The following is a 24,131-nucleotide window of genomic DNA, read 5'->3' as shown; positions in this document are numbered from 1 at the left end:
GCACAGATCCTTAACACAGTGTTTGCTGAAAAGGAACACTGCCAGGTGATGTTTTAATGCAAATTCCCATTTATTTACAGGATATCAGGCAAGCAGTGAACCAAGGAGATCAAACAAGCCCTGGCTTTCTCTGTTCTCAGCATGGCCTGCCTGCTTCTGCTCCTTATGTCTCCCATTTGCAACTTGCTCTAAGTCAACACAGATTCTGCAAACAATCATTCCATAATTTTCTTATCTGATTCTTCCAGTGCTTTCTTTGTGACTCAAGGACTGTCTGCAAGGACAAGTGCAGGTGAAGGGTGGAGTCTCTGGGACAGGTGTGGCTGAGTGGCCATGCAAGATGAGGTATGAGTTCTGCTATTGGCACAATGACCCGGGTTGTGTCGAGCCAGCCACTAGGGCCTCCCACCAACCAGCTGCTCACAGGGTCTTCCATATGAACATCACGTATGTGGTGGTGCTGTGGCACACGAAGGTCCACAGGAGACCATCACTTGGTACTTCACACTGCAGAAATCCTAAAGCTTTCAGAAGAAGCATATAGAACAGAATTCTCAGATCGTCAGACTCGAAGCCATTTAAAATTATATAGTTGAACCTTGAGCAATGCGGGGCTTAGAGGCGCCAACTTCTCACACAGTCAAAAATTTACATATAACTTTTTACTCCCCAAAAACTTAACTACTAATAACCTTCTGTTGACTGGAAGCCTTACTGATAACATAGTCAAGAGTCAATTAACACATATTTTGTATGTTGTATATATTATATACTGTGAAAAAGGAAAATCCGGTTAAGAAAATCATAAAGAAGGAAAATGTATTTCCTATTCCTATTTTGTATGTTGTATATATTATATGATGCAAAAAAGGAAAATGCTATTAAGAAAATCATAAAGAAGAGAAAATGTATTTCCTATTCATTAAGTGGAAGTGGATCATCATAAAGGTCTTTGTCCTCATTGTCTCCATGTTGAGTAGGCTGAGGAGGAGGAGGTGGAAGAGGAGGGGTCTGTCTTGCTGTTTCAAGGGCAGCAGAGGCAGAAGAAAACCCACGTAGAAGTGGACCCGTGCCATTCAAACCTGTGTTATTCATGTGTCAGCTGTACTTCTATTAGGTTTCCTTGACCATTTTGAAAGCATTATAATTCTGTCAAAATAGACTAGCTGCAAATGGTAAACTATTAACAAAAGCCATGCTACTTAGACCACCAACCTCAGAATCTCCTGGCAAGCTTATAAAACAGCAGATTCTCGATTCCAATTTCAGACCTTCTGAATAAGAACTTTTAAGGTCACGGCACAGCAATCTCAATTAGAGTCAAGCTCCCCAGGTGATTCTTATAGACATCAGAGTTTGAGAGCCATTAAAGCAGCATATTTGACTCCATCTCCTGACCCTTCTGAATAATAAAAGAATTTAGTGTATGTTGAATGCAAAGAACTTGTGAATAAAAAAAGCTTTTTACACAGATGAATAACAACAATCATTCTGGAGGAATCCCCAAAAGGAGGATAAAGTGGCCTTGTGAAAATATTGATGATTGTATTGATTCCTTCAAAATCAACCTTTGGCTGAGAAAGACTTCACTAGTCCTTCTCTTTGGATTTTTCCAACAGCTTGATTAAGCCAGCCCCACTCATCTAAAACTGAGGTCTCCACGAGCATGGGGTTTTGGGGTACAGGTGAGGGTTGGGGTTCTGGGGCTGGAGGAGGGGGCACATGCACATGGGTGTGGCAGCCAGCAGGTAGGGTGTGGCCCAGAGAAGGTGGCGACATGAACTTCCAGATCTAGAAGCTAAAGCTACTCCCATCCCAACTGGAAAGTGGAGACAGAAGACCATGGTGGGGAAGGAGGAACTGTCCACCTGGAACACAATTCTGCTCAGACCTTGGCCACAGCCATTGCTTACATACTCTGCTGCCAAGCCCAAGGGGTCGACCAGATTAGGAGTCCGATAGGAACTTGACCTTTTAGGGGCTCAAAGATTATTTCTGTCAGATGGCTTTCTCAGAGGGAAAAGAACCCCAAGAACCACTCCCTGATCTCATGTCTCATTGATTCCACCAGTCAATCACAATGGAATCTGAAGTTTGTCTAAGGACAAAGAGTCAGCACTTTATCCTTATAAAAAGTTATAAAAAGACAGCTATAGACAGCTATGCTGCCAAAGCCCCAGGCACATGAAGGTAATTCAACAACCCATTAAATTTATTATGGTACTGGGAGGTGACAAAATTGCCTTTAGGGCCAAAGTCTGATAAAGAAGAACAGAGCTCTGTTTTAGGTCTGAAATTATACACGGTGTCAGCACATTGACAGGAGCCTGGGAAGTAAGAGGTTGCTTTGAAATTCAGAATGCTGAGTAACTCAACCTATTCAGACCTTTCTACTTTATCATCTCTCTCTCTCTCTCTCTCTCTCTCTCTCTCTCTCTCTCTTTTCCAAGCCAGGTTCTGAATGACTTAAATAGCTGGGTTGGGATTACAAAGGATTTTAGCTGTGGTTTTGTGTGTATTTGTATGCATGCATGTGTATGTATTTATGCGTGCATGTGTGTGTATTTATATGTGTGCATGTGTGTGTGTTTGTGTGTGTGTGTGTGCATGTTTGTGTGCCCCTTAAATCTGGTGCTTTCATTTTTTATGGTCTGTTTTACAAGAGAGAAATTGCCCATTGCTGTGCCAAGAGCGGTCTTTGAAACAGCAGTGAGAAGTCAGAAGAGCTGGGAAAAGGATGTTTGGCTTAATCAGTTTCGGAACCAAGTCCAGTCTGAATACTTATCAATTTCTAAGCCACTGTTTTCCCAGAGTCTGAGCCATGACCCCTCTCTCCCCACATCATTTTGTGGAGCAGGTTGTCAGAGGGAGGGATCAGACAGGGTATGCCCTTTCTGGGAGACTCCTGCTTCCTACCACACTTCACTGTCCTCAGCTGGAAGGAGGCCTTTCTCAACCCTTCTTGGCCTGGAAGCCTCTGTACTGAGAGGTTCAGGAAATCCAGGCAATGATTGATGGTTTGTTCGTGTCAGCAGAGCATAGGAAAAGCTTCTTTTCAGATAGGAGATTAAGCTCTTTTCATTTTGGGATCAAAAGCAAGAAGAAAGAGATGCATTTCATATGCAATCTGAGTTCTTTTAAAGAGTAACACCCTCCTCTCACCTTCCTCTACCCTCACTGTGTTGGAGTGGCACCAGGAGTCTGCGCTTCTGCCAGCTGCAATTTCTCCTTGTACCCGCTGGAAGCCAACCAGGATGGCTGCCGGCCTGGTCCTGCCGAGTCCTGTCCCTTGTTGATGGGCTCCAGGGAGCAATTGGCCCTGGGCCTGGCAGCCCACCTGACCTCCCTGCATTATCCGCTGTCTGTCACTTGTCATCGGGTGAGTCTGGTTGCAATCAATTCACGCAGGCTCCTGTGGGAACACGTCTGGTAACTTATCATGTTGCAGCCTGTCAAAAGTCTGACATGCTTGGGGCAAACGTTTGCTTTGTGCAACTGCTATTTCAAGGGTGTGTGATGTCGCCATCTCAACAGCGTATGTGCCCAGAGACAACAGCACTGAGAGAAAGCATGGTTTCAGGAATCCCAGGATCTGTTATTAGAAGAATGACCATTGTTAGGTAAATAACTCAGGGCACATGGTATGAACATTTGAGAAGGAGGGATCGCCTAGGGTTTCATGTCAGGTCTGGGGTGGGGGAAAGTTTATGCCGCTTTCTTTTCTTTGCGTTAGATTCCTGAATTCATTTCCTCAAAGCTTCTCCCTCCATGAATCTAGAAAGATTTCATGGACAATCTGCCATCAGGCTGAAATGATAACAAAACCTGGATTAGCACACCATTTCCCTAATAGAGTCACATAAACTCTTTTTAAAATTATTATTTCCAAGTCTGTGGCTATATTTTCTAGTCAATTGCCATTATAAATAATTTACCAAGTACAAAGGAGCATTCTGTATTGCCTGATTTATTTTAAATCCATGGCCTAAGGAAACAGAAGAGACCTTTGCTCCCTCTCCATCAGATCAGCTGGCATAAAACAATGTGTGTGCTTGGGATTTAGGTGATATTTTTTCCCTTGCATGCAAACATTGAATACTTTGGCTGAAAGAAAGCAAAACCTTTACAAAGCCCTTGGTGTTTGGATGGTGAGAGACTTGTGGCCCAGGCACCCTGGAGAGCAATGGGCAGCCAGCATCAACTACTAGACATTTGGTAACCAATCTCAGACCAAGAGCACCCAGCCAACCCAATGGCTGACTGCAAAACTGCCCAGTGAACCCATAGACTTGGGAATAATAATAAAAAACTTAAGTTCCTACATTTTGGGGTGGTTTGTTACACAGCAAAAACTAACTGATACATCCTCCAATGACTTAGTTTATATCAATCTAGAGGCCTTTGTCGGTCCTTATTTGCCTCAATGTTTCTGTCTGATTTGAGGTCATCCGTTCTGCTGAAAATCTTTAAAATGGATGCTTGTGGGGTGTTCCAGAGTGGTCTTACTTATAACAAGAGTTATCTTAAGTGACTCCTTGGAGATCTTCATTTACCTAGGCATCTCTATTGATGTGAAAGTAAAGAACCTGTTAATCTCTGTTAATCAGGAAAATGGTGTTAGAATGTGGTTTCTCCATCTACTCTTTGGTTGTCTGGCTAAACCTTGCTACCAGCAATGAGCCAGCTAGGGTAGAAAAAGCCTGGCCAATTGAAGGTTAATAATTGGGAAGTAGGTCCTAGCTACCTACCTATAGCAATCACAGAGTTCATCAGAGAAGCAGAATCAATAGGATGTATGTGTGCATATTTCTATATTATTTTGATTTTTAAATACACATAAACACACACACACTCATAGAAAGAGAGAAAGAGAGAATGATTGACAGAGATTGTGGAGGCCGGCAAGTCCAAAATCTTCAGGGTAGATCTGAAGGCCGGAGACCTAGGGAAGAGTTGATGTTGCAGTTCCAGTCCAAAGGCTGGCAAAATTCCTGGGGGGAAGTGAGTCTTTTTTCCATTAAGACCTTCAACTGATTGGATTAGGTCCATCCACATTATGGAGGGTAACTGCTTTACTCAAAGTCTACTGATTTAGTGTTAATCACATCTAAAAAATACCTTCACAGTAACACATAGATAATGATTGACCAGATACCACCAGATAATGATTGACCAGGTACCAACTAGGGCTAGCCAAGTTGACACATAAAATTAACCATCACACTACTGTTGTTGCTGATTAGATGACTAGACTTTCTTATTCTTAAGAAAGTCACTATTGTTTCTAACCCAGTAGTCATTGTCCAGGACTCAGTAGCTAGATATAGCAGACTGTGAAATGGTTCTGATCTGGGCAGATGTGCTTTGTGACTAATGAATCATGCAAAACATTTATCATATTTGCTTCCCTCTTTATTTCTCACTGATTGATCCTGGATGGGTGAGAAGTTTTCTCTATCAGAAAAGTCATCTAAATCAATAAAAATTTACAGAAACCACAAGCATTGTCATGATAGTGTCAGGGATTGCAAAGATGTCTTGAGGGTCCAGTTTCTTTTTAAATTATAGTCAGAATTACAGTGATGCCACCAAGAAAGAATAAATGTGTCAGAGATAGAAAATGTGATTTCACAATCCTTTGTTTACAGGTTTTAAAAGTCTTTGTCAGTTATGCAAAAAGCCTCTAAAAGTAGGACTAAAAACATGGGACACAAAGACTGGAACAAAACAAATGAATGTGGTTAATAACAGATATGTGGGCTCTCAAGGATATTAACATACATAAAAATTCATCATGAGAAATAATTACATTCCCTATTGTGGCCCACCCTCTAATTCTCCTGGGCCCTGAAAAATAATGGGAAGGTTAACACATTTCTCACATTTCTAAGCATGTTATTATTTCTTGCTTACACAAAAATTGCATAAAAGCAATTATTTGGAATCTGGGAGTAGATGACATATACTAGACTCAGATAAAAGCTTAACCAAAATAGAAAAGCAATCTGGCATTGCTGACAATATTGTCACAAAAATATTACATCTTATGAAGGGAATTTCTCAGAATTCAATAACAACATGTTTAACAGCTAAATGGAGTCATTTGCATACTGTGGCAAAGTAAAAATACAATAATCTCATTTTTTGCTGTCTAATAGGATTTCCTAGGGCTAGATGGCTGGGAAGCATAGTCCGATCCTTGCAGTCTGCCCTTTGCTTTTTGTTCACCCTCTGGGCTTTATCTTCTCCACCAATTCTTTTTCACCCTTTCTGCTCTACCTTTATTCTCATTATTCTTCTTCTTCTTTTTTTGTTTTAGAGACAGAGTCTTGCTCTGTCATCCAGGCTGGACTGGAGTGCAGTGGCGCAATTATAGCTCACTGCAACCTCCCCTCCCAGGTTCAACAATTCTCCTGCCTCAGCCTCCCGAGTAGCTAGGACTACAGGCACACACCACCATGCCTGGCTAATTTTTTGTATTTTAGTAGAGACAGGGTTTCACTGTGTTGCCCAGGCTGGTCTGGAACTCCTGAGCTCAGGCAATCCACCCACCTTGGCCTCCCAAACTGCTAGGATCACAGGCGTGAGCCACCAGGCCCGGCCTTCATTATTCTTTTTTATCCTGCACTCTTTTCCTTTACTCCTTTCCATTATTTTCTTATTCACTAAAAGAGATTCCAACTGACTGCCATTAACCTATTCCTAAGTATTAGCAGAGGAAATGAATGATCATTTCTCATTGTTTTCCTTGTTAGACCTTCTTTTTTTTTTTTTTTTTTCTGAGTCGGAGTCTCACTCTGTTGTCCAGGCTGTAGTGCAGTGGTGCAATCTCAGCTCACTGCAACCTCCAACTCCTGGATTCAAGTGATTCTCCTGCCTCAGCCTCCTGAGTAGCTGGGACTACAGGCACGTGCCATAATGCTCGGCTAATTTTTGTAGTTTTAGTAGAGATGGTCTTTCACTGTGTTAGCCAGGATGGTCTCGATCTCCTGATCTCATGATCCTCCCGCCTCGGCCTCCCAAAGTGCTGGGATTGTTACACCTTCTTTTACCTGCAAGTCTGCCATTATTATTGTTGTCATTTCCCTGGTTACCTCTTTCTAGGCCAGGTCAAGACAAACGGTGGACTGGGCCATTTCCTAGGAGGTACAGAAACATCCCACCAAATTCCAGAAAAAAAGAGGATAGTACAATTACTGAAGTTTTGTGTGTGTTCGTGTGTGTGTGTGTGTGTGCACATATGAATTTTGGTTATTATTTCCTCTTATTTTGCCTGCATTATTTGGATAAAGGCTTTAAATCATCAGGACCAGAATGGCATGGTGGTTGAGAAACAGGGATCTGACATTAGCTTATCTGGGTTCAACTTCATGCTCTCCCATGTTTTAGTTTGAGCCCATAAAAACTTACTTGATTTTTCTGCTCTTCAGTTTCCTTATCTATGGAGTCAGAATAATTATAGAACAGAATTTACAGTACTGCTGGGAAGATTCAATAAGATAGTGAACTGAAAACATTAACACATTGCCTTGTACATAGTGGACATGGCAAAGGTGACTCTCACTCCACAAATCCAGGTGTATGCGAAATAGCACATTTCTTTATTTGTGAATAAATTAGCCTCTCAGTAGTTTGTAATTCCATCTCACATACTCTATTTGGGACATAAAGTCCCTCAGGGTCTTTTTAAGGTTCTGAGCCCACATGATGAGCCAATGCGCTGATGGTGGCCCCTGGTCATTACCATCTGCTCAGCCAAGTAACTGCTGGTGGAGCCATTGTCCTTCCCACCCTCTGCTCTCAAGTTCAGGTTCCTTTTTGAATATAGAATCTTGGGAGAAGCCAGGAACCACTGTCCTTATGATCCCATTTTTGCCAATTCTTTCTTTGAGGTGTCACCCCCTGGAAGGCAGAAGGTGGGCATATCATTGTTCTGTCATCCACATGCCTCACTCCTCTCTAGTCTTGGGAAATCTCTCTCTCTTTTTTATTAAAATCAGGATCAAGCACCTCTCTGCCTCCTGCTTCTTCCAAGTCCTGGTTCTCTTCTATTGCTCTGCCAATCTTGTTTTCTCCTCTGAGCTTAGCCTATTGAAAACAAGATGAAGACATCTTGCAAGCATAGTGAGCCCTCCAGCCTGCCACAGACCACCCATGAAGCAATAAAGCATTGAGCTTTCTTCCTGTTTAAGTGGCTGGGGAGGGCAGAAAGACCCCAGTAGTAGTGAGAGGTGAAGCCGGATGGGCTTCTGGGTCAGGTGGGGACTTGCAGAACTTTTCTGTCTAGCTAAAGGATTGTAAACACATCAATCAGTGCTCTGTAAAAATGGACCAATCAGCGCTCTGTAAAATGGACCAATCAGCAAGATGTGGGTGGGGCCAAATAAGGGAATAAAAGCTGGCCACCCCTGGCCAGCTGTGGCAACCCACTCGGGTCGACTTCTGTGCTGTGGAAGGTTTGTTCTTTTGCTCTTCACAATAAATCTTGCTGCTGCTCACTTTTTGGGTCTGCACTACCTTTATGAGCTGTAATACTGCCAAGACCTGCGGCTTCACTCCTGAAGTCAGCGAGACCACGAACCCACCCGGAGAAACAAACAACTCCGGATGTGCCACCTTTAAGAGCTGTAACACTCACTGTGAAGGTCTGCGGCTTCATTCCTGACGTCAGAGAGACCGTGAACCCACCAGAAGGAAGAAACGTCGGACACATTTGAATATCTGAAGGAACAAACTCTAGACACACCATCTTTAAGAACTGTAACACTCACCGCGAGGGTCTGCAGCTTCATTTTTAAGTCAGCGAGACCAAGAACCCACAGGAAGGAACCAATTATGGACACAGTAGTAGTACAGCAGAAAGAAAAAGAGAAAATATCTGGAGAAACCCCAGAAATTAATTTCTAAATGTTATCAAGCTACATAAGCATTATTCAGATATTAGGGTTTTTTTTTTTTTAACACCTTGCTGAAACTGTGCTTGGCCTGATTAGTACTTTTCTCTTGGCATTATATTACATACCTTCAGTCTTTGTTTTATGTTGCTATAACGGAATGCGTGAGACTGGGTAATTTATAAAGAAAGAGGTTCATTTGGCTCTAGATTCTGGAGGCTGGGAAGTGCAAGATCAGACAGCTGCATCTGGTCCACTTCTGGTGAGGGTCTTGTATAGCATCACAATGTGGCAGAGAGGCAAAACAGGAAGTGTACATGTAAAAAGGACAAAACATGAGGCATGACCTCGCTTTATAAAAAACCTGCTCTCTGGAGAACTAACCTGGTCTTGTGAGAAAGACATTAATTCTTCTTACTGGCCTAATCACTTCTTGAAGGCCTCACCTCCCAATGTGGTTACATTGACAATTAAATTTTAACTTAAGTTTTGGAGGGGACAAACCACATTCGAACCATAACACTTTCCTTCTTAAAACATCATTTTCTTTGCTATGACTCAGCCATCTTCTAGTTACCTCCTATATCCCTGGGTGCTACTTCTGTTTATTTCATGGAATCTTCTACAATCTGTGTCATAGTGTACCTTGGGGTTCCACATTCTGCTCTGGGTTCTCTTCTCACCCTACTCATTTCCCTGGGAAATTGTACCTACACCTGTTATTGATATTTTGATGACTTCCATATCTGTTCTTCAGCTCTGTGGTACATTGCAAAGCCTGGCCAGAAATATTTGTTGCTCCTCCTGTCAAGCGGTGGAGTTGATTTCTCCAACCATTGAGTCTGGCTGCCTTTGGGACTTGCTTTGGAGAACAAAATGCAGAAGTGATGCTGTGCCAGTCCTGAGCTTGGACCTCAAGATATTTTGCACACATATGCTTTTGATCTTGGAACCCCTTATCCTAGCCCAGTAAACTGGGCTGAACTGATGATCAAAGACGCCTCCTTCACCGTGTCTACAAGGCCCTCTGAAAACACCTGGTCCTCTGGCGATCCATCAGTTAACTGGTAAGTTCATAAACTAGCTTAGCCCAGATTAGCCAGCCTGGTCCAGATCCACAGAAACACCTAGATGACTTGAAGTTAAGAGCAATAATAAAACATGCTGTTTTTAAAACACTGACTTCTGGGGTGGCTTGTCACACAACAAATGTTAATTCGTACAGGCTCAAACATATCTTCTGAGCTCCCTGTCTTACAAAGGCAGTGGCCCCGGACATCTCCACCCACTCGTCCTAAATTCAACATGCCCAAAACTGACTTCAACATTCTTCCTCATCCCCAGTCCATATCCACTTCCAAGCAGAGCTGATTCTTCTTTTGTCTTTTTTTTTTTTTTTTTTTTGTTATCTTGGCAAACTGTCGTCTACTTAGAAACCTGGGCAGCATCCCTACCCCCAATTCCTTTCCCCCCATATTCAACCCATCACTAAGAGCAGTCAGTCCCACTTTTGAATAGCTCTCCTACTTATCTACTTCTCTCTACCTCCACTTTGTGTGTGTGTGTGTGTGTGTGTGTGTGTGGTATAGAATATTATCACCTCTAGCCTGGTTTTCTCAAGCCTCCAAAGTCATTTTCCTACCTGCATGCTTGCCTTAACTTCCATTTTTTATTTCCATGAGCTTCTGCTGGACTCACAGCCTTGACTTTAATCCTCATATAATTGGGAAACATTAAATATTCTTGAATGTTAACATGTCAGTACCAGGGCTCTGCTTCAAGAGAACTGGTCTGGGAGTTGTACTGAGCATGCCTTATGGGGAAACTTTGGATGTAAGAAGAGAAATTAAGAAGGCCTTTCATACATCCAGCGAGAAAAGATGGATCTCAAACAAGACTGGTGGTAATGAGAACTTTCAGTGTTTTTTGAAGGAAAGTTTTAGGAGGATGAGATGGATACCAAGAAGAACTTCAGGAGTATATTATTCAGGCTCTGTTCTGAGCAGGTGTCAAGGGAGGGAAAGGGCCCGTGATCTCAAGCCTGGCTCACAGATATGAGTGAAAGCATTGTTTGAATAATAAAGTATGGAGGAGAAGGAGGTTTATGGAGCAAAGAAATGGTCACAAGACAACTAGGAGACACGGTGCTGGAGAGGTGGTTTGGGGTCAGCCCTTCTGTACGTGCATGGCAGCTAGTTGCTCAAGCGCATTGCTCAGCTTTTTCCTTCTGCATCTCTGTATGTGCCATTTCTTCTACCCAGCTTCCTGATCTATTTATTAAAACAATACTTCCAAGATCTTTCTCACGTGTCTCTCTTCTGGTTGCTTATTTACATAATGAATGTTGATTGCGTGATCACTATATGTCAGCTCTAGGGCTACTGTAGTAAACTGAGCTCTCCCAACGATCCCTGCATCTCTCGTTAAGTATCCTCTATCATAACCCTGTATTATGAAACTCAACCCTGTGTGACATTCAGCTCTACAGCCAATGATAGTAGATCAGAATTACAAGTTTGGCAAACTCTCCCAGTACACTAGATCTTAAGTTCATCTTTGTATTTCCTAGAGCATGCAGTAAATATACAATAAATATTGGATGAATTAATGAATCATGCTATAAAATATTAAAATAGGTCTGGAATGATAACATTTTATTAAAATGATTACACTATTTTCAATGTTAAGACCTAGAGATAAAGTAGAATGGAGAGTCTCTGAAGTTCATTAGCAAATGAAAAGAACCAGTCAAAATTTCATTAGAGGAAACAGACATGCATAGTGACATAGATCACCTTGCCCTGATTTTCCTTGTGAAAGTTCATTGATATTTTATGGTAGTAATTTGTTGTAGTGAGAGGTTTAACTTTCCTGCCCCAAATAGTTACATGTGATGTGATTTGAGGGATGCACCCTGATGCCCCCACCTCCTTATCTACCCACTGGCAGACGTTTGAGATTTCACTGTCTCCAAGACTCCATCCTCTCAGTGTAAGGCTTTGATCTGTGCTAAATGACAATATGCATAGGCGGGGCCACAAGGTGACAATGAAGGGAAAGGCTTGGAAGAAACCATCTGAGTTCATCATGAAATTCAACACGCAGTCTCTGGGCGTTGAAGTGAGTCTTTTTGTAGGTGGCTGAGATGCCTGGAGCAGAGATGGGCGATAGAAGATGAAATGTCTTGATAATAGAAAAAGAAATTGCTAAAAATTGTCACTCAACTCTCCTATTTCTCCTTGTTTTTCTATGCCCATCTCTCATTCTTCCTTTCCCCAGATTTTTCTTATGAAAATAATATATAATCAGGCCTTGCAGTTGTCATTTTTTTTTTTTTTTTTTTTTTTTTTTTTTTTTTTTTTTTTGAGACGGAGTCTTGCTCTGTCACCAGGCTGGAGAGCAGTGGTGCAATCTCTGCTCATTGCAACCTCCGACTTCCAGGTTCAAGTGATTCTCCTGCCTCAGTCTCCCCAGTAACTGGGATTACAGGCACACACCATCACGCCCAGCTAATTTTTGTGTTTTTAGTAGAGACAGGGTTTCACCATGTTGGCCAGGATGGTCTCGATCTCCTGACCTCGTGATCCACCCATCTCGGCCTCCCAAAGTGCTGGGATTACAGGCATGAGCCACCGTGTTCGGCCACAGTTGTCATTTTAAGAGACTGATTATTGTGTAAATAAGGACTCATAAAAATATATTCATCTTGGTCTTATTTTTTGCATTTGTTTTGTTAATATAGACATTAAAAAATTGACAAAGCCTTGTTTCTGTGGCCCATTCACCAGATAGTGGTTTTATCATAAAGAACATTTTATTGTAATTGTATTCCTTGTATCAACCTATTTTAGCAAAGCTCATAGTGTTATGTGCCTCCATAGTGAATAAAAAACACATGCTCCACAAAATTCAGTCTTTGAAGAATATCTAAATAACACTAAGGGTCTTATTTACATATGACTTAAGAAAGTAATAACTGTTTAGAATGTGGGCAGAATGAGGGCAGGAATTTCTATTTTTGCCCTCTTTGTATCTTCTGTGTTTAGAACAGTTCCTGGTAGAGTAAAAGTACTCAATGAATATTTTTTAAATGAATGAATGAATGGTCTAGCTTTTATGGGGTAGCCTCATGAAAAATACTCTGTGTTGTGTGCACTGATGCAGAAGCCCGAGCTCTGGTGTTAAATCTCACTTCTGCTACTTACTCCGCTGTGGGCCCTGGCATGAGGCCCTTGGTCTCTCTAAAATTCACTATATTCATTTAACGAATGACTCTTGTGTTAGATCATAAACTCTGTGAAGCTAGAGACTGGACCTGACTTGTTTCCCACTGATTTGTTCCCTACCTAACACTGCCTAGCATAACACCTGGAATACAGAAAGGGAGAAAGTAAATTATCTCTTGAGAGAATTAACTCATTTTGGTCATCTTAGTAATGTTTTATGAGGACTAAATGAGAATAGCTAAATGTAAGTGTTTTAGAACCGTATGATGAATTTAGATGAAAAGGGAGGATCTTGTATCAAACTACCTTTCTTGTAGACAACAGTGATAAATGTTTGGAAAACCTTTTAAAATAGTTATTGGAAGGCATTGGAGAGCAAACAAAAGCAGTCAAAAGCTGGAGGGGATGTCATATTTGAAAGGAGGAATTGCAGGTGAGGAGGAGGAGGGGAAACAGTCCCGAAAGGTGGAGGCATTTGGAGGACACCACACGCTAAGAGGAGGCCAGTGTGGTGGGAAAGGGGAGGGAAGCTGAGATATGAGACTGTGTAGGCCAAGAGGAGTTTCCCAGTCTTTATCCCAGGTGCCAAGGAAAGCCACCAAGACGTTTAAGCAGCTGTGAATGGCAGTAGGGGTGTTTCCTGTTTTGAAAATATCTCCTGGCTGCAGCTTGGAAAAGTGCTCTGATGCAGGGTTTGTTGAGCCAGCTGATTGAGCAGCCTACACAGCGGGATGTATCTTGCCTTCCTTCTCTATCGCTGCATGACACATTACCATACAATAACACTCACTGCTCTCTCACAGTTTCCATAGGTTAGAAGTCTGAGCACAGCATAGCTGGGTTCTCTACTTGGGTGTCTCCAGGCTGAAGTCAATGTGTTGGCCAGGCTGTATTCTCATCTGGAGCTCAGTTCATCTTCTAAGCTTATTCAGGTTGTTGGAAGAGTTCGGTTCCTTGTAGTTGTAGGACTGAGGTCCCTGCTTTCTTGCTGACTATTGGCCAGGACTTGCTCTCAGCTCCTAGAGGCCACCCTCAGCTCCCAGCCACATAGCCTTCTCAAAACATGACAGCTGACTTTTTCAAAGTTAGCTGGAGAATCTTTCCCTAGTCTGCTAGGAAAGAATCTTAGAGAAGGTGATGTATTTTCCTAGGTCTAGACCAAGGGGAGGGGAGTACACAGAGGGTGAACAGCAGGGTGTGGAAAGCCTGAGAACCACCCTAGAATCTGTCTGCCATCATTTCAACATGGTATACGTTTAACTATTTCCAGCGCCCAGATCTGCCTTAGGGGTGAGACCACTGATAATGAAACCCTTTGGTACCCTGTTCTTTTCAGTAAGCCCTTTGGATGGAGTCCTGTACAGGTTACCTGCAGCCAAGCAGATGTCCTTCTTTCTTAGTGGTACATTTCCCTGTAGAGTAATGAGCTATGACCACATGGGTTGGTTTTTTTGGGGGGAAGGCAGCATTCATGACAATAGTTTACTTTATACAATTGGCTCCTCATCACTTTGGCAAAATTTAACCTTTAGTTTGCAAAGAAGCCACTCTAGCTGAACATAGGGGATTAAAATACTTGTTTTTGAATTTGTGTATATGGATAAAGTTCTAAAAAATACAATGCTGTGCCAAAAATGGCGGTACTTGAAAAAGTTACAATAGCTGGCCTCTGTTTTTATAATGTAATTTCAACTGGATTTCCTTTGGCCAGCCTGAGTATGTTTTAGCTTACTTAAACTCAGATTGCTCTGCATTTTCTCCCAAAGAGATGTCCCTGCTGCAGTCTTCCTGGCGTTCTATTTGATTAAGACACTTTCGAGGTTGCTGTTCCTTTGACTTTTACTGATGTGAGAGCAATTAAAAGAAAATTGACTGACTCACCTTCCACCTCATCTTTCTTTGACTTGTTTGCTTCTATTTTCCATTCCATTTATTATTAATAGAGTGCTTATTTTCATAGCTTCTGCATATTTCACAAAACCAAATAAACAGCTCTTCCTCTTGGAAGAGGGGAAGGGTGCCGGTTGCCATTAAACCAGTGGTCACTCACTTCCCAGCTGGTTATGCATCCCCCTTGTCCTTTGGGACTTGATCCGGGAGGAAGCCAAGAGTAGTGTGAGGGGGAGGAATCAGAGGAACAGAAGGAGGTGACACAGGAGAGGGAAAAGCTGCCAGCCAAGCCTGGGCATGGAAGGGGATTGGGTGGGAGAGGGGGTCTCCTTTAGTCATTCAAGCAGAGCACCCCAAACAACCCTGACAATGGTGCAATGTTCAAGGTTACAACTCTCCCTTGGTTAGCTCTGGGGGATTAACTCCAATCTCCTGGGAACTCTCAATTTGCAAGCTTTTTTTTTTTTTTTTTTTTTTTTTTTTTTTTTTTTTTCAAAAGAAGGGCCTGGCAACAGGGCTTCCTTTGACATAGGAGAACTGGAAATGTTTCTTTTTTCCTCTAAGTTGTAAGGAACAAAAGGGAACAACATCATTAACTATACACTACCTAGACATGCCCAAATCGTGTATGTTTGTGAATTTTCAGTAATGCCTGTTGCCTTCCCCACTCCCCACTCACCCCATTGCTGTCTTCCAAACACATAATGCGGCCCGAAACATTTGAAAGACAAAGCTGCAGTGGTGTATGTTGACCCTGGCCCTTGATGCCTCCACAGAGTTCTCTGAAGTAAACATGTGAGCTGAGAAGCCTTCTTCCATGGGCTATAAATCTCTGTAAGTGCTGCTGGTTCTAGTCTCCGGTCTCTGCTGGAAGCCACAGCTGCGGGGGAGACACTTCCCAACTTTCACTGCTTGGGAAGGGTCAGAGATCCCCCCTGGAGCTGCCTCTTCCCTGTGACCCTGACAAATGGCAAATGGCACTTTCTCTAGGCAGCAACCTGCCTCCAACTTTCTCACCAATACCTGGAGACTTCCTTCCTCAGGCTGACAGCCAAGTGGCCCGCCGGACCCGCCTGGCTGCCAAGTGGGAGCAAACACAGGATGTTATTTCTGTTCTTAGAAGACCAGGTTCACACACCACAGCCAGGAGTGTGGGAAGGGAGAGGAAGGGCCTCCTCTCTGGCATCCAGTGCTGGCCCCAGTGGAAGTACTGTTTTCGTAGTGGGAATGAATGGGTTGGTCTGAGGCCCTGGGCTCCTACCCAGTCCTCTAAAGAAGAGAAGGCAGCCCTAGGGCATTTGCCAGACCTCAGGGAAGTGCTCGCTTAGTCCACAGGGAGGTGCTGAGGCTCAGCTTGCTTGGGGCCAGATCCACCCAAATATCCCAAGGCAAGCAAATCCTCAACAATCTTAAAATATAAACCCATAAATAAAGTTCTATTGGCAGCCTGCTCCATTAAAAATAAAAATACTCTGGGAATGACTTTTCAAGGCAAATGCTGGAAAAAGAGCTTCTAAAGGAACAGAGCAGAGGGGAGAATCAGGCAGTGCCTAGCTCTAGACCTGGCTGCAGGCTTAACTCCGTGCGTCTCAGATTTACGCTGCCCAGTTTGATGTCTTCTGGAAGCAGGAAACAAGTTGGAAGGGTGCTGGGCTTGGGAGTCAAAGGTGGATTGTGGGAAAGTCAGTTTATTTCATTTTATTTTTTTCAAATTTTATTTTAGATTCAGGGGGTACATGTACAGGTTGTTAGGAAAGTATATTGCTTGACGCTGAGGTGTGAAGTACAATTGAACCCCTCACATAGGTAGTGAGCATAATACCAGATAGGTAGGTTTTTCACCCTTGACACCCTCCTTCTCTCCCCTCTAGGAGTCCCCAGTATCTATTGTTGCCATCTTTATATCCACGTGTACCCAATGTTTAGCTCCCACTTATAAGTGAGAACATGTGGTATTTGGTTTTCTATGTCTGCATTAATTCGCTTAGGTTAATGGCCTCCAGCTGTATCCATGTTGCTGCAAAGGACATGATTTTATTCTTTTTATGGCTATGTACTATTCCATGGTACTATTCCACGATTTCTTTATGCAATCCAACACTGATGGGCACTTGCTATTCGTCTTTGCTATTGTGAATAGTGCTGCAATGAACATATGGATGCGTGTGTCTTTTTAGTAGAACAATTTATTGGGAAAGTGAGTTTAATCTTTTGTTCAACAAGCATGTATTCAGCACTTCTGTACGCTGTCATAAAGAAGGAATATAAAAATAAAGATAATAGGATCCCTGCCCCATGTGGCCCACATTCTAGGCGGTAGAAAATAAATAGGTAAACAAATGAGACACTTTAGAGCAATGAGTCTCATGGAGAGCTTAAAGAGAGCAGGCCCCGTGGCAGAGAGCCAATCTGAGCAAGGGAACTTTAAGCATATACCTGGGCTTTAAGAGGAAGTCAGCCACAGGAAAAAGGAGTGACACATTCAAACACTCGAGCTGGAAACCAAGGGCTCACTAGGTGAAGACTCAATTTCCTCACCTGTACAGGATATCACTGAGGCTCTCATAAAGAGTGAAAGTACATTTTGTGCTGCCTTGCTAATGTCTAAGAACTTGCTCAATGGCACAGCTCCCATTCCAGGGCTAAATTCTGGTGGTGCTTGATTTCCACAACAAGAACTCACACAATGGTCTAATTCCCCCTTTGAACCGCTCCTAGCCAAGTCTTCCAGTTCTCTGTTTTTCCCACCTTGTTAGCTTAAGAGACTTCACATGTGCCTGCCAATAGCTTCTGTACCTGATATTGTTCTCTTGAGCTCCCTTGAACCCAAAGCATAAAGAGAAAGGTGTGTGTGCACACGTTCTTGACCACACATACTTCTCTGTGTATTAACCCAGGTTTAATTTATGTCATGTGCATATACCAATGTGCAGAACATCTTTGAGAGTCTCTTCTATAAACACCCATGGAATTATTTACTTTGGTCTCAGTTCCTTTTTTGCAGCAGATTACCACCTAAGAGATCCAGGCTGTGTGTTGGTCATGCCTACATTTAAGAATTTCCAGAGATGGCTTCCCCAGCAGTCTTGGTTGCTGCCCTCCTAGGACCAATTTACCTTCTAGGCAAGATGCTCTTCCTTCCATTGGAGCCCCCTCTTCCTGCAACTCATTTTCTCATCCCCATTTCTTGTCCTCCCTGGAGATAGAGAGCAAATGGACAGCTCCTCTTCATAAGAGTCCTTGGTGGAATCCATGACTAGGTTGCCCTTGAGATGCTTTTTTTCCAAACTAAACAGCTCTATTCACCTTTGTCTTCCCCCAGGGGACTCTAAAGAACAGCACAGCCAAGCAGAAAGGAACAGCAGGAAGAGGCCCCTGCAGCGATCAGAGATGGATAGCAAACAGGGCAACCCCCACCAAAATGCCAGCAGCCCCAGGCTCTACAGCCCCACACTGGGCCATCTCCTCACACAGGCTCGGCCTCTGAAACCAGCAACATCCAGAACAGCAGTAGCATTTGTCTAGCTTTGCCTCTGGGTCAGGCACTTCCATGTCATTCTCACAACAGCACTGTGCAATAGACATCATGATCCCCATTTTGCAGATGAGGGAACTGAAGTTGGGATAGGGAAGATGACTTTCCCAGGGCACCTGGTACAGCTGAAATTTGAACTCAGATCTGATTCTAAAGTCAGCTCCACAACTGAACAATTTAAAGCAATGGTTGGCCATCTGCTATTTGGAAAGAGTCTTTTCCTTCTAGGTTCTGTATGTTGAGCAACTTTTGATAAGGAAGAAGATGTCAATACTAGAAGCTTAAATATAATGGGAAAGAACTCCGGAATAAGGATAAGAGATGCCATTCATGGAGGATCTTGCTGGGACCAAGAACTTTATCTGCATTATCTCATTAATACTCATGATGTCCCTACAAGGTAGACATTGCTATCCCCATTTTAAAGATTAAAAAAATCAAGGCTTCCATTAGTGAAGTAACTTGACAAGTTCAAGGGCTTCCATTCCTGCTCTGGAGGGTCCTGCCTCCAAAACTCTCAGTCACTACCCTTAATGCATGAAAGGTCATTTCAGATGGAAATGTATCACTCGAGACACACTTTGTCATCATAGTCCAAATGACACATACCTAGTCTGTAAAGATTTGCTGATCATGCATTAGCCTTTAATGCCACATGTACAAAGAGAAAAATTAGCATGAACAGACAGCGCTAGTTACAAATAAAAGGATCATGAGTCACCATACTTCTCAATCTCTGATACTCCCTGAATGATAAAATACAAGTCTTGTAGTGAACCTAGGAAGTTTGTCATTTTACCTTGTCATGATATACTACAGCAAAAATGTGCCAGACCAGGGAGCAGATCTGACTAGAGTCCCGGCTTTGACACCGACTAACCGTGTGAACACAGCTAAGTTGTATCACTTTGCCAAACACTGGTTTCTTCTTGGATAAGACTGATGTAGTAATTATTACATCACGCTATTAAATGTGTCATATTATTGCCTAATAATAATAATTTCTATCTTGGTATGAATGCCCACTGCTTTACTCTTCTGAGGAGATAAGTCAGAGATTATTATAAAGATCAGGTCATTTCTATCTTGGTAGGAATGACCACTGCTTTCCTCTTCTGAGGAGATAAGTCAGAGATGATTATAAAGATCAGGTGATGTCATATATGTGAAAACATCTTATAAGCTCTTATAAGAGGCATGATTATGAGGATGGTGATGAAACTGTCATAGCCATTGTCTCACCATTGTCACTCCAAGCCGACTTCCCTGAGAAGCTGTGAAATTGAGGCCCCAGCAGGGGCCAGACAAGAGCCCCAGACAGCAGCTGTCTCAAAGAACAGAGCCTCAAATGGGACTTGCTGACTGCAATTCTAAACCTATTTCCCTTTGAAGTTAAGTGTATGTTCTTTTCAGGTAAACACTGTATGAACAATTTAGGATGGTTTCTAATGCATCTACCCTCGGTCAAAATCAGGTAATAATGAAAAATGTATTCCACTTGTGGCTTGGCCCCATTTCTGTTTTTCCTGTTTCCTCTCCCTTCCTCCCCCATACTTGCCTTCCACATGTTGGTCCATCTGTTCTAGGTAGGGTGAGCCTGCTAGTCAGAGAGCATGTTTTTTTCAGCTTTCTGGCACATATGCATGGAACCATCAGAGAATGGAGAAATAACCAGGCCCAGATCATGTTGCAAGAAACACAAGTGACACTGCAGTCCATGAACTCACCTATGGTGTGTGACGTTCTGCTTCTCACACTGAGCATGGATGGAGGGCTGGGTGCTGGGCGTGTGCACACCTGCTATGGGAGCATTCATAGCCCCTGAGGCCAGAGAGACCTGGGTTACAATCCTGACCCTCTGCAAATTAGCTTTGGGATATAGCTACGTAATTTCCTTGGCTTCTGTTTCCTTCTTTCTGTGTGATGAAACCTGGCTTTTCCAATTGTTCAGATAATTTAGTGAGATAACAAATGCAAAGTGCCTGGCAGTAATTGTTCTGAATGGGTACTTCCCTCCTCTAAACCCTCTACATGAAGCTGCCCTTGGTAGAAATGCGCACTGCTTTCCTCTTCTGAGGAGGTAAGTCATGTACGGTCTTCATTCAGGTCTTCGACATACCTGCCACTATAAGAACACAGCAGATTGGGTCATCATACAACGTAGATATGTATCAAAACATCAGTTTGTACCTCATTAATACGTACAATTACAATGTGTTCATTAGATATATATGTATAAAAAGACAGCTGAAAAATATTAGGTTACAAATTTCTTTTGGCTGTTTGCATCATTTGACTGTGAATAATATTGCTGGCATGTGGCACATTACAATTGCTGAATGAACAAAACATGGTTGTAGACTGTAGAGAAAAAGCATTTCCATAAAGGGAATAAATGTATACTTGACTCTCTGGATGGGGAAAGAGGTGCCTGGAAGGAGGCTAACCAAAGTGCCATCACTGGATATGAGATGCTGTTTAGTGTACTTGTTTGAATTTTTAATAATAAACTTATATAATTGTTAACAATAACAAAGGAATGAGTGGTAGAGATTGAATATGGGCATTTGCAGAGACCTGCACAGCAAGCGTTGGTTTTGACGTTGATCTGAAAGTGATTTTTCTACCTTCCCCATAAGTCTCCTCTATGACTAATGTGGAGGAACACACCTTATCATCAGGGCTTGGCAGACACAGAAGGACAACTCTCAGAAGGTGTGTGAGCCTGCTGGGGAGCAGGGTGGTTACAGGTCGACCGTTGCGTGGTTCATGGCAATGAAAAAATACTGTGCTGCCACCACATTAAACCAGATGAAAGGGTGGATTGCCATCCTTCCAGTTCTACAGCGTCGTCAAGGACTTTGCAGAAGGCGTGAATCAGATCATTATTACCCTCTTTTCCCCTTTAATTTATCCTTATTGATGTTATAAGACAAAGTTGTTGGCAGGGCAGTTTCTTAATTCATTTTTGATTTTATTTTTTATTTGAAGTTTAATATTTTAATATTTTTTATTTTAATCCCTCATAAGCATTCCAACCCTTTCTTGCTCCCTGGCTGCCCCATCCCTACAGGAATGAATTTAATTCCAAGCACTAGTACCTGCCAAATCCAGGTTGTAGGCAGCTTTCCCTCTTGGGACCTTTGATGGGGGGACTGCAGTAAGGTGACCTGGTGCAGTTTCACTTTTTTTTCCTCCTTGACGTTTTTCCAACACAAGGTTCTCTGTCCACCTTGGCTTTATTTTGCCATGTAGTGCCTCACGGGAGCTCAGGTCCTGCCCTCAGGCCCTTTCCTTGGGGAAGCATAGACCTAGGAAGCAGGTAGGAAAGGGAGGAGTTTTTCCTCTGATTGATCACCAGTCTTTTCTTTCTTCTCTTTTTCTTTTTAAGACTAAGCCACAGCCATGCTATGTGAAATGTGGGCAATTCTATAAGCCACAGCTATGCTACGTGAAATATGAGCAGTTCTATAAGCCACAGCCATGCTCTGTGAAATTTGGACAGTTTTATAAGCAGCTACGCTACTATGCTTGACTTCTTGAGATTTTGCAACCAGTTGCAAAGGAAGGACTATCCTCTCCCAGGTGGCAGAAGAAAAACATTCTCATGAAAGTACAGAGATCACTCAATCTTTTTCTCTAATATGATCATTTTTCCTCATTTCTGTGACAGCTAAATTATCCTTTTGACTAAAGGAAACATAGCATCAATATGTTTCATTGATTATAATTTAAATCTGTCTAAAGGACTAGCTGGAGGAAGAGGCAGTCTTTTGCAGTCCTTAAACTTCAGCAGAAGCCACAGAATTAAACTATTTAAAGCTTACTTGTTCAAGCATTTTTCAAATAATTATTTTAAAATTTCAGAAAGAAAAAGGTATGCCCTTTTATGGAATCTATTTTTTAGGGCACATATAACATGTGGGTCAAATACCCCCTGGAGGCCATACTGTTAGGTTGGGTGCTGTTCTCTGTTATTTCTTGGGCAAATTACTTGACCTCACTATGACTCAGTTTCTTAACCTGTAAAATGAGATAATAATATTACCTACCTCACAGGTTATTGTGAAAATCAAATGTAAAGCATGTTAAAACTCTGCCTGGCACACAGTAAATGGTAAGTGCTCTATAAGGGTTCGTGATTATTGTTATTATAATTATGGAAGATAACCAAGAGAGAAAATAGCTCTAATAAAAAAGTTCACTGAACTTTTTTGCATCAACTGGAAAGATCTTTATAACATACCACTAAAAAAAGTTAGTTATGAGAAACTTGGCTTTTAGTGCCCCAAAAGCTCCTGCTGAAGGACAAGAGAAGAAGAAAGAAGGGTAAGTGTAGCGATGTTGTTTAACATTTTTCCAGTTAGGAAGAAGACAAGGGGACCCAGGAGTCTAGGGCTGTAGAGGCCTAGAGTTTCATGGAAAATGACATTGGCCAGGTTATGATTTCAGGGAAGTGCACCCAGGACATTAACCAACACACACATCAAATATGAGCACTGTATCCTGGCAATAGAAACAAAGGCTCTTTACTTGAAAAAGCCAACAAGCAAGTGATTTGGGCCTAAGATCCGCAAGACTAAGTAGTAGTTCTCCAAACTTGCTACCTGGCTCTCCTGTTGTTCAAATTCTTCATATTGTTGCTGATTTTCTGTGTACTTATTAAATCAGTTATTGAAAGAGGGGCAATAAAGTTTCAACCATAATTCTGAATTTGTCTATTTCTCTTTGTAATTCTCCGAGAAGTTTTTGCTTTATGTGTCATATATTTGGGTATTTTGTAGTTATGTTATTAGGTGTGTATGTTTTTAGGACTGCTATGCAATGTTGGAGATTTTCCTCTTTATCTTATGAAATGACTTCTTTATCCTTGGTGTTATTCTTTACCATGAAATCTACTTTGATAATAATAATATAGACACTCCAGTTTTCTTTTGATTTGTGGGAACAAGGTATATATTTTTCCATTTATTTGCATTTAATGTATTTGTGTCTTTATATGTATTTGTGGAGTACTTGCTCCATCTAAAGCATTATTCTTGGGCTTGGGACAATAATTGTAAAGTGGGGAATGACATGGAAAAATTTTCACTTTAGAATGATTATTCCAGCAGCAGATCAGAGAGGGGAATGGGAAGGGACAATATTAGGAGGATTAGGACCCAGTGGAGACTGGTATAATAATTTAGGCTGGAGATCACTGCGGCCTGAACTAAACTACCCACAGTAGGAGAGAAAGAAATTGATGGGTTATATTTAGGTGGTAGAATCATCATAATTCTGTGACTGAACGGAAGTGGGAGGTAAAGGAACAAGGCATCAGAGTTGAAGATAGTGATGCCTTTACTGAGATAAGGGACATTAGAGAGAGAACTGTTCAGTTTGAGACAGCTAATGAGACATCTAAGCAGAAATTTCAAGTACATGGTTAATAGTTTTGAAATCAGCAGAGAAGACTGAGCTAGAGACTTGGGAAACTTTCCCTCAAATACAGTAATTGAAAAAGTGGCAATGACTAAAACCATCCAGGGAGAATGTGCTGTCTAATCAGTGAGGGGAAGAGGAGATGAAAAGAGATGGGATGAG

The 24,131-nt window shown here is 42.1% G+C and overlaps 1 long non-coding RNA gene across 1 annotated transcript; it reads left to right on the top strand.

Annotated features, from left to right (window-relative positions):
- The first annotated feature begins 8,755 nt into the window (after positions 1 to 8,755).
- On the top strand, positions 8,756 to 21,081 carry LOC101929902 (uncharacterized). Its single transcript, XR_001738524.2, has 3 exons — positions 8,756 to 9,156; positions 9,652 to 9,961; positions 18,333 to 21,081. It is a non-coding gene; the product is annotated as an uncharacterized LOC101929902 (long non-coding RNA).
- The last annotated feature ends 3,050 nt before the right edge of the window (positions 21,082 to 24,131 follow it).

This window comes from Homo sapiens, chromosome 1 (assembly GCF_000001405.40).
Source record: "Homo sapiens chromosome 1, GRCh38.p14 Primary Assembly".
In the NCBI taxonomy this organism is placed as follows: domain Eukaryota; kingdom Metazoa; phylum Chordata; class Mammalia; order Primates; family Hominidae; genus Homo; species Homo sapiens.
This window is presented reverse-complemented; position numbering and strand designations above follow the sequence as displayed.